The sequence below is a fragment of the Homo sapiens genome, chromosome 11, assembly GCF_000001405.40.
Source record: "Homo sapiens chromosome 11, GRCh38.p14 Primary Assembly".
NCBI lineage: Eukaryota > Metazoa > Chordata > Mammalia > Primates > Hominidae > Homo > Homo sapiens.
This window is the reverse complement of record NC_000011.10, coordinates 86,924,182-86,939,512: the sequence shown is the minus strand read 5'-3', so window position 1 is coordinate 86,939,512 and position 15,331 is coordinate 86,924,182. Positions and strand designations below refer to the sequence as shown.

The window sequence follows — 15,331 nt, the reverse complement described above, 5'->3', positions numbered from 1 at the left end:
TGCAGGTAGTCTGAGGAATTATAATCTTTAGTAGCCATTCAAGAGCTAAGTCCTGAACATTTGCAATTTTTACTCATGTTAAAAAATATATATATATATATATATATATTTTTTTTTTTAACTGAGAAATAGGAACACTGGAAAAATTATTCTCCTGAGGTCAGTGTTTTTTGAAGCTTTGTTTCTTTTAAAAGAGGGCTCTAATGACACCTAGTGGTGAATACAGGCAGAACAACTTTAGGACAGACTCAATGCAGTGTCCCTGTAATTAGAATTTTTTGTTTATGTGTTTGCTTGGGAGAAAACACACTCCTTACAAGCACTTCTTAAGTACCCTTAATGCCCAGGAATCCTGAGAAGTAGTGACATGGAAACGTTTCCCTTACGTGTTTCTGGCGATGTTCTCTTCTCTTGATTGATGATTCCTCAGAGCCTGCCCACCTCCTAGGGCTAAACTGGCTCAATTTTAAGAATGGATGAAAAATGTGAAGCTCTGCAGAGGAAAAACATCAATACATCAAGTGAGAAATTTCCCTATATTTTTGAGAAGGCCTCCTCCCATTTGGCTATCTTTTAATGGAGAAGCATGGTCCTTTTCTGGTGTATATGTCTTACTGACTTTTTAAAGGTGTACTCTAGGCTGACTGCCTGTCGTTTCTGCTTTACAGGGGCCTTCTTAGGTTCTCTAGTGTTTGGCAGTGGCTGATTTTTAAAGAGAGAGGTGATAGGGATCTCAGAGAGGCTGCCCTCACTCCAGCCCCACCCCACCCCTACCCCCAGCCCCTCGGAAGGCCATCCAGGACAGATGACTATCTGGCCTCCTTGCACCACCCCCAGGAAGGAGCTCCTTAATCCATCACATCGGCTGATATTCTTCTTTATGTCCAAACCCCTCAGAGTGATATCCAAGACCCTCAGGTCTGGCTCTTCCCCTCTCTTCCAGCCACATCATTCCTCTTCCTCAGACACACCCTATGCTCTAGCCAATCCCAGCCACTTCCAGCTCCTCCTGTTCTCAGGCTGTTTCAGTGTTCTCTGCTCCTGCATGCTGGACTCCTGAGCCAGGAGGCTCTTTCACTCCGTGGCCCTTCTGCTCATTCTTCAAGTCCCTGAGTAAGTGTTTCCTCTTCTTCTTCAAGTCCCTGCATACACGTTTCCTCTTCTGGGAGCCTCGCATGATCCAATCAAGCAGAGCCTGTAGCACCTTCCTTTAGGGCACCTCTGAACCTAGTTCAAACATCTGTAATTGCATGTGTTATATTACATTATATTGTTCTTGTTTGTTTCTCCTCTAGATGTGTTTGAGCTTCTCAAGGGCAAGAGCTGTTCTTGCGCCCAATGCTGGTTCGGGTGCTCGACAAATGTTCACTGACATCCTGGCAGCAGCCATTTGTGGCACTGGATTGTTGCATTTGGCTGCAGTGTTTTGACAGGAGCAAATTAGGAGTGGGGCAACTAGTTCAAGGTAGTGTTGACAATGAGGGTTAGCTCTTTGAAAATGTGCAGAACCATTTATTATCCCAAATGACCTCAGCTTTCACACCACTAGGAATAAGGTGCTTTCACAAAAATCATCTCTAAGTTTGTGTCTAGTTCTAACACTGGAAGATTCTGTTACCAGAAAGGGGTCCGGATCCAGACCCCAAAAGAGGGTTACTGGATCTCACGCAAGAAAGAATTAAAGGCGAGTCCATAAAGTGAAAGCAAGTTTATTAAGAAAGTAAAGGAATAAAAGAATGGCTACTCCACTGACAGAAGGCTTCTGGTTGCCTATTTTTATGGTTATTTCTTGATTATATGCTAAACAAGGGGTGGATTATTCATGCCTCCCCTTTTAGACCATATAGGGTAACTTCCTGACATTGCCATGGCATCTGTAAACTGTCATGGTGCTGGTGGGAGTGTAGCAGTGAGGACAACCAGAGGTCACTCTCATGGCCATCTTGGTTTTGGTGGGCTTCAGCTGGCTTCTTTACTGCAACCTATTTTATCAGCAAGGTCTTGATGACCTGTATCTTGGCTGACCTCCTATCTCATCCTGTGACTTAGAATGCCTAACCGTCTGGGAATGCAGCCCAGTAGGTCTCAGCCTTATTTTACCCAGCCCCTACTCAAGATGGAGTTGCTCTGGTTCAGACGCCTCTGACAATTCTATAATTAGGGGAGCCATGCTTTAAAATATGGTTTTAAAAAATCTAGGGCTAAGGCAGAGAGTCTACAATTGAATGCAAGAATATTTTACATACACCTGTCTTTTTTCTGGGGAGATGGTTCATACTTTTCAAAGAAGGGGTCTGTGATCTCAAAAGATTAAATACCACTGATTAAGAATCATTGACCAAAATGACAATCTTTACTCAGCCTCTGCTGGGTCAGTAGGAGCTAACACCTTAATAGGAGTTAGTGCCTCAGTAGAGAGGTTCGTAATCCAGCAGCTGCAAAGCTCTTGCTTTTTTTCCTACTGCCCTCTATTAGGGCACATGTACTGGTCCCAGTTTGCAATTTCAAAAGAGGCTTGCATCCTAAGAGGCTTTTGGACATGTTCCATTTATGCAGCATTAATGTTCTAAATGTTCTAAATGTAAGAGTAAGGGTGTAAGGGTATGACCAGAACTCTTTTTTTTTTTTTTTCTTTACTCTGTCACCCAGGCTGGAGTGCAGTGGCATGATCATGGCTTACTGTGGCCTCAACCTCCCAGGCTCAAGTGATCCTCCCAGCTCAGCCTCCTACTACAGGTACATACCACCATGCCTGGCTAATTTTTTGTATTTTTTGTAGAGACAGGGGTCTCTGTTTCCCAGGCTGGTCTCAAACTCTTGGGCTCAAGCCATCCTCCTGCCTCAGCCTCCCAAAATACTGGGATTACAGGTATGAACCATCACACGGAGCAAAACTCTTTCAGCAAGATTATATACCTTTCCCCACATTAAAAAAAGTAATTGGCTGGCCGGGCGCTGTGGTTCACGCCTGTAATCCCAGCACTTTGGGAGGTCGAGGTGGTCGGATCACCTGAGGTCGGGAGTTCGAGACCAGCCTGACCAACATGGAGAAACCTTGTCTCTACCAAAAATACAAAATTAGCCAGGTGTGGTGTCACATGCCTGTAATCCCAGCTACTCGGGAGGCTGAGGCAGGAGAATCACTTGAACCTGGGAGGCAGAGGTTGTGGTGAGCTGAGATTGTGCCATTGCACTCTAGCCTGGCAACAAGAGCAAAACTCCATCTCAAAAAAAAATAAAGTAATTGGCATTACCAGAAATGATATTAATATTCTTTAGGTTAGGTGCCAGGGCTACTCTGAAAAAGCCACCACACAGAGCCCCCAAGTCCTGCCAGGTGGTTCACAATGAACCCTCTGGGTAGTGCCAGAAATCCTACATGTGAAGCATGATCACTGAAACATTCTGCGAGTGTGATCTGGGCCTGCAAATTGCTATGAAGCTTTTCTGCTTCAGTGGGAGATGCCATTGCAAACTGAATTGTGGCTGGCAGGGCTGGATTCCTGGGTTTGCAACATGGGCAGTCATTCAGAGCCCTGTGCTTAGACAGGCCTTGTGCTTTGTTTAATGCTTTGCTGTTGCTATCTTGAAATTTTCAATAATATTTGAACAAAGGGCCTCATATTTTTATATCACACCTGCTCCTGTAAATGATGTTTGTCCTAAGTGGCTACATATACCTAAGGCAGCACCAAGTAGTAGAAAGAGCATGTACTTTGGAGTTGGCAGGGGTCAACTCCAATCCCAGTTCCGTAACTTTCTAGCGATGTGAGCTTGGGTAAGTTACTTAACCTCTCTGGGCTTCAGTGTTATTATATAAAAAATAGTGATTATAATGTCTAACTTTTAGAGTCATTGGGGTAATTACCAACAGTTGGGGTAATTACAACATTTGGGGTAACAGTATGTGTTTAGTAATTGGTAATGGATGATAATGACAACAATGCAACAATGATTTGAAAACAACTAGTCAAGAAAGAATGAAATAACATTCATGTGAAAAGACAACCAAAACAAAATGAACAGACAAAAAAATGCCATACACGTAGACTTTTGGGGTTGGGAAGAATCCTAAAGATAAGCTCCTGGGCTGAGTTGTTTTTGCCTTTGCCGTCCACAGCACTTTTCTCTTATGATGCATCTTTTCCCGCATTAAACACTGAGACCCTGAGAACAGATACTGTGTCTATACTTTAAAAATATTTCCAGCTTCTTGCACAAAGCCTGACACAAAGTGGATGTTTAATAAGCATTGGTTGAAATAATAAACTAGCTCATTATTTTATAGCTGAGGAATCTGAGGCCTAGAGAAGTCAGGTGACTTAAATAAGCTTACAAAACTTGTCCTTGGCAAAGCCAGGTCTGGAGTCCTCTCTGTTTGTTTCAGAGGGATTAGTTATTGCCTGGGGGCCCTGTGTGGACCCATCCCTTGGAGCTGTTAAACACAATCACACAATCTTTATTGCTTGCTGAATTGCAATTATCAGATTATATAGGAAATGTTTAAGGATTTTATGTATGTGTATTTTTATTTGTTTTGAGTCAAAAATCAAAAGGGAAGAATGGTCATTGGAGCTAGAATATACTTGTGGCTGTCCCAGTGAACTCCTAGAAAAAGTAATCCCTCCACTTGCCTTTGCTGGAGCACATGGTTCAGGGATAGTTTAGGATCCCCTCTCTCCTTTCCCAAATCCTCCCATGCATGAGCTTATCTGCTGTGATGCTGATGTCCTGGATGTGATTGATTACCCACCACTATCTTGGGGACCTGGGAATGACCTTCTGGATGCATTTGTAAGGAACCAGCTTGGGAAGAAAAACAAAAACTTGAAGGCATCCTCTAGTTGGCCTGAGATAAGGGGACCTCAGAGTCTTCTTTCATTAGCCTGGCAAAACAATCCAAACAATAAAAAATCCATAAGAAAATATTCTGCTTCCAGGAGCTTAAAAGATACTTCTCCTTTCAGCCACCCAGTCACATGACACTATCCCTATGTAAGACAAACAAATGTTTTTGTGGGTGAGAGGATGAGAGGAAGGGAGGAAAGAAGAGAAGGGGAGGAGTTCAACAGAGAAAGGGAGGGAGGTATGATGAGGGAGCAGAGGTGAAAATGTAGAAAAAAGAAAAAACCAAAGAGAGAGAGAGAGATGGAATATGTTTGGAAAGAGATGTGGGCCTAATATTTACCCAGATGATCCCAGGAGCCAACTCAAATCATCAGAATGAATCGATCCAAGTCACCTTGTTAAACTTACTTGGCATAATAATAATTATTGTGTGCTGAAAGAAGCAGTGGGGTTCGGTGAGAGAGTATGGGTTTGAGTTTTGGCTCTCATGATGATTTGCTGTACAAACATACATCTGTTATTTCAAGTCCCAGGCCTCAGTTTTCCCATTCCGAACTGGGGGAAATAAATGAAACAGGACATATGAAAGTAATTTGAAAAATAGAGTGTGACACAAGCAAACACAGTCTCGAATTTACACTCAAGCTGGATCTATTCCACTTAAATCAAAACAGGCTTTGACGTGTCTCCAGCTTTTCTTTTCATGGACTCAGTAAAGTTTTCTACCTTGTGTTTTTAAAGTAAATACATATATAATCCAATGATCTCGTCGCATCATTAGGCTCAGGTGGGCTCGTTCCAAATCATGGATACAACACTGAAATCAAAATACGAAAAGAAAAAAAGGTGCATGGTTTACCCACCATTGTTTAACAAATTTATGTAGTGGAAAGAGCAGATATGGTAGGAATGAGATCTGGTTCAGATTCCAGCTCCAATAGTCATCTGCTGTGTGACCCACGGCAAGTTTCTCAGCCTCACTGAGCCGCACTCTTCCCACTTGGGGTATGGGAGCACCTCCCTCCCTATAATATTATCATAAGATAGCCGGACAAATGCCTAGCTGGCTCCTGGCATCTGTTAGAGCCTCTGCCTATGTTGATCATTGCTGTATCCTCAGTCCTAGACTATAGTAGGTATGAAATATGCAGTACTTTCTCTTTTCCCTTCCTCTTTTCTACTTCTCTTACCCTATTCCCACGCCCACCCATTCAGGTGTCTTTCCATGGCCACCAAAGTAAAGCCTTGGATTTGGGTGTCTGAGATACTGCTTGAGAGCCATTTTTTTCGAAGGCTTCAGATAGGAAATGAAATCACGCTGGCTTATAATTATGCACCACCTTAGGTGTCAGCAATGAAAACAGACTCTAGAGAACATAAATGGAAGGAAATGTATTGGAGTGGTTGGAGAGTAAAGAGAATTAACCTTAGAAATGAGTAGAAATTAGGGGAGAGTCAGAAGTCCAGTCCAAAGGAACCACAGCAATGGCTCCTTGGCAGGAGTAGTTTGGTCAGCGTGCCCGCCAGCCTGCTTTTGAAAGGACGACCTCCAGCTGTCTCCAGAGGTAGCCACCCACCCCCTGCCTGTTTTTGTATTGCTTCCCTGAGATTCACACTTCAGGGAAAGACCACTTGGTGGGCTGAGCCAAAGTCAGTTACTGACCCTCAGATTGTGCCAGGGTTGTGTGTTTATGTGTGAACAAGAGAGTGTGAGTGTGATTTTGTCCACTTTTGATATGGAAGGTGAGTCCGACCTCACATCGAGAGAAGCCACAACAGTGACCAACCCTTACAGAGGGAGATTTGATGACAGACACCCATTAATAAAAATATGGCAAATGTCCACTGCAGCTCAGAAGAGAGTCTTCAAGGAGGTCAGAGAATCCACAGCTCTGCTTTGTGCAGGGATGTCTCCTCTTCACCAAAGCATTTAGCATCCACTGGGGTAAACAGGGAGGATCCAGCTGTGTCTGCTCATTCCAAGTGGTTTTGAGAAAACAAAATCAACATTAAATTAAAGCAAATAATCAGAGATGTATTAACACTAAAAAAAAAAAAAGTCATGGAAACAAAGTTGAATTCAGTTAAATGGTGAGTGAACAGTTCTTCAGATAGCTTTTGCCTGATTTCCACACAGCTGTTTCTCCAAACCTGTCTGCAGTCAGAGGCAGATGCTTGCAAGCAGCCCCCATGTATTTCCCACACACTCTCAGCCCCCAGCAAACTCTTCTGGAGGCTGGGTGGCCGTGTCACTGATGGTGATGGCCCCTGCTTCAGGAACTGACAGTCTGCTTCCTTTTTTGCTGTATCCTTCAAACCCTAATTATACAAAAAAATAAATTCAAGACTCCAGTCTAGCAGCTGAATACACTTCTTGTTTGGGAAAGCCTAATTTTCAGTAGAAAACGACTTCTGGCAAAAGCAGCTCCTGCCCCTCCCCTGCTTTTTGCCCCAAGGTCAAGTATTCTGATGACTCTCAGCAGTCATTGGTCCCACTTCCTGCCAAACTGTGACAAACCAACCACATGATCATGATTAATCACCCCCCAGCCCTTCATTGCAAACAATGGGACTGCCTCGGGGGCAATTTTGGAAGTCTCCATCACCTCCAAATTTTGATAGGGGTTAAGTTAGACTCGGTCCTCACTTTTGCACAAAGATTCACAGTTTGCATAGAGCTTCATGGTTTGCATGAAGTTTTATTGTTTGCCCTCTTATACATGTTATTTTATTTGGTCCCCAATAATAGGGCACCAGGCTACCGTCACCCTTCTCCTGGATTATTACAGTTGCCTCCTATCTTCCTCAATGTCCACTCTTTTTTTTAAAAAAAATTGAAGTACAGTTAATAAAAAGCACGCTGAGAACGATGGCTCATGCCTGTAATCCCAGCACTTTAGGAGGCCAAGGTGAGTGGGTCACTTGAGCTCCGGAGCTTGAGATAATAAAAAGCACAAGTCCAGCTGTTTTGCTTTGATAAGTTTTGACAGTTGTATACACTGGGTAACTGCCATGTACAAAAAGAGATACAATATTTCCATCGCCCCAGAATAATCCTTCATTTTTTTCTTTCCAGTCAATGTCTCCTTCCTCTAGGCAACTACTTTCTGATTTCTATTACTAGGGACTATTTTTTATGTACATTGATTTCATTTCATATCATTGGAATCATACAGTATGTACACATCTGTGCTTTTTTTTCATGGATTTAAGACTCATTCATGTTGTGTGTGTGAGGAATTCCTTCCATTGTATTGCTGAGTGGTATGCCATTGTAGAAATACACCACAATTTGCTTATTAATTCATTTTTTGATGGAAATTTAGTGGCTTTTTTCTTCATCATTTTTGCTACTATGAATACAACTGCTATAACAAATTTTGTACAAATATTTTGTGAACATATGTTTTCATTTAACTTGGATAAATACCCAAGAATGAAATTGCTAGGTCATAGGGTAGATGTATGTTTAACTTTATAAGAAACTGCCAGACAGTTTTCCAAAGTAGTTTGTCAGATATATGAGTTGTCAACATCCAGTCTTGCTTCCTCCAGTCATTTCTCCTCATAGGCTCCAGAGCAATCCATTTAAAACATAACCTTGATCCCATCACTTTCCTGCTTAAACTCCTTCAATGGCTTCCCATTGCCCTTAGGAGCAAGTCCAGACATTTTTCACGTAGCCTGCACAATTTGGCCCTCACTTTCCTTTTAGCTTTGGCTACTCCTTCCTGCATCTTCCTGCCCGCTGTTTTTCTGTGTTCTGGCCATACTGGGTATGTTTCTACTCCTTGACTGTGAAGCACTTTACCTGCTCAGGGCTTTTGTACGTGAGGTCCCTTTTTCTGGTCAGCCGTTCTTTTTTTTTTTTTTTTGAGACGGAGTCTCGCTCTGTCGCCCAGGCTGGAGTGCAGTGGCGCGATCTCGGCTCACTGCAAGCTCCGCCTCCCAGGTTCACACCATTCTCCTGCCTCAGCCTCCCCAGCAGCTAGGACTACAGGCGCCCGCCACCACGCCCGGCTAATTTTTGTATTTTTAGTAGAGACGGGGTTTCACTGTGTTTGCTAGGATGGTCTCGATCTCCTGACCTTGTGATCCGCCCGCCTCGGCCTCCCAAAGTGCTGGGATTACAGACGTGAGCCGCCGCGCCCGGCCCTGGTCAGCCATTCTTCATCCACTTTCCTCTTTGCTTATTTATTCTTCCAGTCTCAGTTTAAAAGCAGCTTCATCAGGGAATTTCCCTAGGCCCTGTAGACTAAGTTAGATCCCCTGTTACATGTTCCTGTGGGGCCCTGGGCTTCCCCTTCCTAACATTCACTGCACTGTTGTCATTTTACAAACTGCATATATTTATTTCAATTTTTGAATAGCTTATACATTCATGTTGGTTCAAAAATTCTAAAAAGATATTCTGTCAAAAGTTTTATTCCCATCCCTGTCCCTATTTGCCTGGCTTCCCACCCCACATTTTTTTTTTTAAAGGAACTTCTTGATATCAGTTTTTTTCCCCAGATATTTTTTAATGCCTATACAAGATTTTGTATACATACACATATACACAAACATATATACACATACTATACCACTATAACTAATACTATTATAGTATAGTATAATACTATATTTGTATATATTAGCAAATAACAAATTATGAATACTATTAGTGTTATACTATTAGTATTGCTAATACTAATGTATATACTTTTTACACATATGCACACTCTACACACTGTTCCGCACCTTGTTTTTTCCACTCACTTTTATGTTTTGGCAGTTTTCCATTTCACAACTTAGAGAGCTTCCTCATTTTCTGTCATTGATGCCCAGAGGTCCACTCTATAAATGATCTAGGCCTGTGCTGATGGCCATTTAATTGTTTTTAATCTTTCGTGATCATAAACAATGCCGCAATGATAACAATCATATACAGATGTTATTTCTTATGAGTGTGAGAACACTTGAAGCATAATTTCCTGGAAACCAAATTGCTGGTACAAATTGTATATGAGTTTGTATTTTAAATTATTATTATTTTTGAGACGGAGTCTCGCTTTGTCATCCAGGCACAATCTTGGCTCACTGCAACCTCCGCCTCCCAGGTTCAAGCGATTCTCCTGCCTCAGCCTCCCAAGTATCTGGGATTAAAGGCATATGCCACCATGCATGGTTAATTTTTGTATTTTTAGTAGAGATGAGGTTTCGCCATGTTGGCCAGGCTCATCTTGAACTCCTGACCTCAGGTGATCCGCCTGCCTCGGCTTCCCAAAGTACTAGGATTATAGGCATGAGCCACTACACCCGGCCTTGAGTTTGTGGGGTTTTTTTTTTTGTTTTTTTTTTTTGAGACGGAGTTTCGCTGTTGTTGCCCAGGCTGGAGTACAATGGCGCGATCTTGGCTCACCGCAACCTCCGCTTCCCAGGTTCAAGCGATTCGCCTGCCTCAGCCTACCCCAGTAGCTGGGATTACAAACTTGCGCCACCATGCCCGGCTAATTTTGTGTTTTTAGTAGAGACGGGGTTTCTCCATGTTGGTCAGGCTGGTCCTGAACTCCCAACCTCAGGTGATCTGCCCACCTCGGCCTCCCAAAGTGCTAGGATTACAGGCACGAGGCACCGCACCCAGCCAAGTTTGTGGTTTAATAATTTTTGACAAATTGCTTTCCATGGGATTGTACCACTTCATATTCCCATCCACAATGTTTAAGTGCGCCTCACCTACATGTGTTGCAGAACATTTGGACATTTGGAGATCTGAGAGCAGAAAAACATTATTTCAGTGTAGTTACTTTTAATTTGCATTTCTCACATTAGAAGCTAAGCATCTGGTAGGATTTGTTTTATTTTGATTTACTTAGTATGTTGTAGATATCCAATATATCTGTTGATATAATAATAAAACCTATGTATTATATATTAATATATAACATAATGTATTATATGCTGTATATGTCTTGCCAATTTTTTTTTTTTTTTTTTTTTTTTTTTTTTTTGAGACAGAGTCTTGCTTTGTCGCCCAGGCTGGAGTGCAGTGGCGCGATCTCGGCTCACTGCAAGCTCCGTCTTCTGGGTTCAAGCCATTCTCCTGCCTCAGCCTCCCAAGTAGCTGGGACTATAGGTGTCTGCCACCACGCTCGGCTAATGTTTTGTATTTTTAGTAGAGATGGGGTTTTACTGTGTTAGCCAGGATGATCTCGATCTCCTGACCTCATGATCTGCCTGCCTCAGCCTCCCAAAGTGCTGGGATTACAGGTGTGAGCCACCACACCCAGCCTGGCATTAATATATATTAAGCATATGTATTATAGATTTATATATATATTAATGTAATGCAATATTAAACATATGTATTATATACTTATGTAAGTATATTTATGTTAATGTAATATGTATTAAACATATGTATAAGTATATAATAAATACATATACTTATATATAATACATATATATTTATAAGTATAAAATATTTGTAATACATATGCTTAATATATATTAACATATACATATATTTATGTATAATATGTATTATAAGTATATAATACATATGCTTAATATATATTACATTAACATATACATATATACATATACATACATACATCTATGTAGGCTAAATAAATGAAAAAACTGAATGATGATCAAAGAGCTTAATATCTGTGTGTTTTAAGGACATGGAGCTTGTAAGTGGAGACTTTCTGGGACCAAGTACAGTATACTTTTTTTTTTTTTGAGACGGAGTTTCTCTCTTGTCACCCAGGCTGGAGTGCAGTGGTGCAATCTCAGCTCACTGCAACCTCCACCTCCTGGGTTTAAGCCTCAGCCCCTGAGTAGCTGGGACTACAGGTGCAGGCTGGTCTCAAACTCCTGACCTCAAGTGATCCTCCTGCCTCAGCCTCCCCTGGCTTACAGGCGTGAGCCACCACGCCCGGCCTAGTATTCTTTTTATTAGTCTTTGCCGCTCATATTTCTAGGGTAGTTCAGAAGGAGAAAGGAAAAGAAGATGTCACTAAAAATTAGAAGGTAAGGCCGGGCACAGTGGCTTATGCCTGTAATCCCAGCACATTGGGAGGTCAAGGTGGGAGGACTGCTTGAGCTTAGGAGTTCAAGACCAGACTGGGCAATATAGTGATACCCCGTCTCATTTTTAAAATCTAAAAAAAAATTTAAAAAATGAGAAGGTAAAATCTTAGCTCTGCTTTCTTATCAGTATTACTGTTGGGCTAGTTTACACGATGCCAGTTATTCTACTCAATGCCAACTGGAGAATGCCAGCTCAGGGTCAGCTTCTGAGATCTTATAACTGTGTTAGGAACATAACCTTTAGAGTCAATCAGACCTCGGTATGAATTTTAGCTCTGATATTAGCTGTGAGACTGTCTTCTCCCTAAGATGCAATTTCTCCACTGGTGAACAGGAGATGACAACGCCTGCCTATAATAGAAACCTTGAGGTATCTGCTTAGCCCTTGATTCTTTCCCTCTGACTACTCTCCTCCTCTCTGCACCACGTGACTCCAGGCCCCTGGCAAAGCTGATTGGACCCATGGTGGACTGACTCAAGTTAGCTCAGTCAGAATCTAAAAAATCCTTAAGAATAGAATCCAGAGGTTCTGTTAATTCTTGATCTGGGAAGTGGGGGTGACAGCATGACTGGGTAACCCTATCTGACTACATGTTGGAGTTTGAGGGGGCCCAATAAGTAACCTCCCCTTTCCTTGCCTCACTTCCAAACCAATTAAGGGATTCATGAGGTTATGGCAGAGGAGGAGTAACGCATGAGCTTTTTGCAGATAAACATAGTTTAGTGTGGCAATGCTGAACACATAATGAGACAGACTTTTCATAGACAACCCTGAATAGCCAGAGGCTGCCCCACGTAGATGGAGGGGAAAAATGCGAGGGGAAACAGTTGAACTATGAGTGCTTGGTCCTTTCCCCAAATTCATGAACCAAAATCCAGGAGTGTAACCCTAATGGAGGTTTTTGTACTTGGAAACAAGAAGGTTCACCCCAACATAAGAGATGCATAGAGAAGCAGGGTCAAAAGACAATACCCCCTGGAGAAGTAGGTCCAGTCAGTGTTCTGACTTCCCAGTTTCTGCTCCTTGTCTCTCTTATGAAGCTCAGCCACACTTCCCGCCCTTGAGTTCTTCCAGATACACATTATTTATAATTATGGGTACCCCTTTATTTAAACTCTTTCAGGTGGGTCTTGCAACTGGTAACCAAAAATCTTTTATTAGGACTCTAAGTCACACTTTTTTTTAGGGTGAAGTTTATTTATATTTTATTATTTATTTATTTTTGTGAGATGCAGTCTCGTTCTTGTCACCTAGTCTGGAGTGCAGTGGTGCGATCTTGGCTCACTGTAACCTCTGCCTCCCTGGTTCAAGTGATTCTTCTGCCTCAGCCTCCCAAGTAGCTGGGACTACAGGTGCACGGCACCACGCCCGGCTAATTTTTGTATTTTTAGTGGAGACGGGGTTTCACCATATTGGTCAGGCTGGTTTCGAACTCCTGATCTCAGGTGATCCACCCACCTCGGCCTCCCAAAGTGCTGGGATTACAGGTGTGAGCCACTGCATCCGGCCTTGGGTGAAGTTTAAATAAAGAAATGAATGTAGGGCACCTAGCATGGTAGACTCAATATATATTTAGTTTTATTCTTTACTTTCTGATGGGAAAGGGGATGGAGCAAAGCTCTGAGGCTCAGTCACTCAACTCATTTTCAGTTTGAATATGACACGAAACAAACCCCCAAATTTTGAAATTTCTACTTGAAGGTCAAACAGCCATTAAAAGTAGCACATTTGCTATGAAAACGTTACTGAAGACATGTCTATCACAGGCTGGAAAGACAGTGTTGGTTAGTAGCTGGAGTCAGATATACTTGGATAGTAATTCAGGTTTCAACTGCTACTAACTGGAAAGTCTTACAAAAGTCATCACCTCTGTAAGCCTAATTTTTTCAACCATAAAAGAAAAAACTAATTTGTTTGGTTGTTACAAGCACAAAATATGCTCTTGGTACATAGAGAGTGCTCAGTAAATGACAGTTGTTATTATTGTAATATTCTGAATACTTTCAAGAAGGGTCAGGAGGGCCTTCCTTTCTGTTATTGAGAGCTACATGCCTGATTATGTTTTCATTTTTGCCTTGATTGCCAGGGAGTTCAGAATCAAATTTAAAACTTAATCATGGCAACCCTGCTACTATTAAGGTTGGCATATTTATAAGTCCCTTTTCCTGGCTCTTGATTTTCTGTTTCTAAAGCTTGTCAGCCAATGAGAAGCAGCTTATCAATCGGACCAGACTAGGGCATGCATATAAATGTAAACGACACACACACACACACACACACACACACACACACACTCCAGTTAAACAGTTAATTTTCAATGCAGTTTTCACTTGGGTAATTCCCTGCCAAGAGAAAACATAAATCACTTTTCAGTCCAGCATCCAGGGGCTCTACAAACCAGTCCAAGAGAAATTTAATCTGGGTCTATGTAACAGAAACTGGGCAGCCAGCCAGCAAATTTTTGTTTTGTGTTTTAAGAGAAATGCAACATGCTCCTTGTCAAGTGATGTCTGGGGTGATCAAGCTCACCCCCACAGGGCCAAGGGCTAACCGCGGAAAAGGTAGCTTGGCGGCTTGTGCTAAAGAAGGGCCTTTGAAGGGTCAACTCCCCTCGGTGAGTTAAAGTCTTCTTCAGAAAATGTTACAGAATGAAATACTGAGTCTCAGCAATCAGGATGTTGATTCTAAAAGTGTCACAAATCAGAAGCTGACCCCGGTTAGGTAGGGGTGAAGAGGCAGAGGGTAGGAGGGAAGCTGTGGAAATAAGCTGGGCTCTTGGAGGAAAGGAAGCCATACTGAACCGTTCACTAAAGGTTTTGGGGAGCCCTTGGACCATTTTAAACAATGTAGTCTTTCCTACTCTTCAACTCAATATTGATTGCACCAGGACTCAGGAGCTTCCTCATTATCATGTAATCACTATAACAACTCTTGGAGATAAGTTTCATTACTTTTCTTTTCCAGTTGAGTAAACTGAGAGTCACTGAATTGCCTAGGATTAAGTGGCTAGGTGGAGCCAAGAATTGAACCCAGGTCCAAGAGCCTTCAAGTCCAGTTCGCATTTTCCAGTTTGGCTCCAATGCAAGCGCAGTATCTTATTTAACTCATTTTTGTTTTATCTATCCCTTACTTCTTGGTCCCAGGTCTCCAAAATTTAACAGAGTTTGGTGTGTTGTAAAAGTCAAACATGCCCTCATCATTTTGTTGTTGTTGTAGGCCCTAGAAATGGCTGTAGGAGTTGGCAAAATAAATGCATTCTGAGGCCAGCAGCCCTTTCTTCTCTGAGCACATTCCCTGTTCCTTTCCCAGTCTCTGGGAGAGGAATTTTGCCCATGGGAGCTGTCTCAGGTGCCGACCTTTCTGTGCCTCCCTCACACATTCCTGCATCTAAATTAGAACTGGTCAATG

General features: G+C 42.2%; 1 protein-coding gene and 1 long non-coding RNA gene across 4 annotated transcripts in view, besides 1 other annotated feature; one reads left to right on the top strand and one right to left on the bottom strand.

Moving 5' to 3' along the window:
• PRSS23 (serine protease 23) overlaps positions 1–15,331 on the bottom strand; it is a 161,840-nt gene that overhangs the window by 13,398 nt on the left and 133,111 nt on the right. Inside the window, exon 3 of one of the 3 annotated variants that reach the window (NR_120591.3) lies at positions 387–493. The exons of 1 other annotated variant lie outside the window; for it this stretch is intronic. The gene's annotated coding sequence lies outside the window, so the exon portion shown is untranslated. Of the gene's footprint in view, positions 1–386; positions 494–1,693; positions 6,819–15,331 lie in introns of those variants that run through there. One more of the 3 variants, NR_120593.2, reaches the window with a different exon arrangement.
• Positions 1,028–15,331, top strand: part of PRSS23-AS1 (PRSS23 antisense RNA 1) — a 50,139-nt gene continuing 35,835 nt past the window's right edge. The window contains exon 1 of the long non-coding RNA NR_187135.1: positions 1,028–1,113. This is a non-coding gene — a long non-coding RNA (PRSS23 antisense RNA 1). The remainder of the gene's footprint in view (positions 1,114–15,331) is intronic.
• Positions 14,232–14,526: an enhancer, noted in NCBI's record as "tiled region #12486; HepG2 Activating non-DNase unmatched - State 7:EnhWF". NCBI's record gives its function as "activates a minimal TATA promoter and a strong SV40 promoter by Sharpr-MPRA in HepG2 cells {active_cell/tissue: HepG2}" and the evidence as "EXISTENCE:reporter gene assay evidence [ECO:0000049][PMID:27701403]".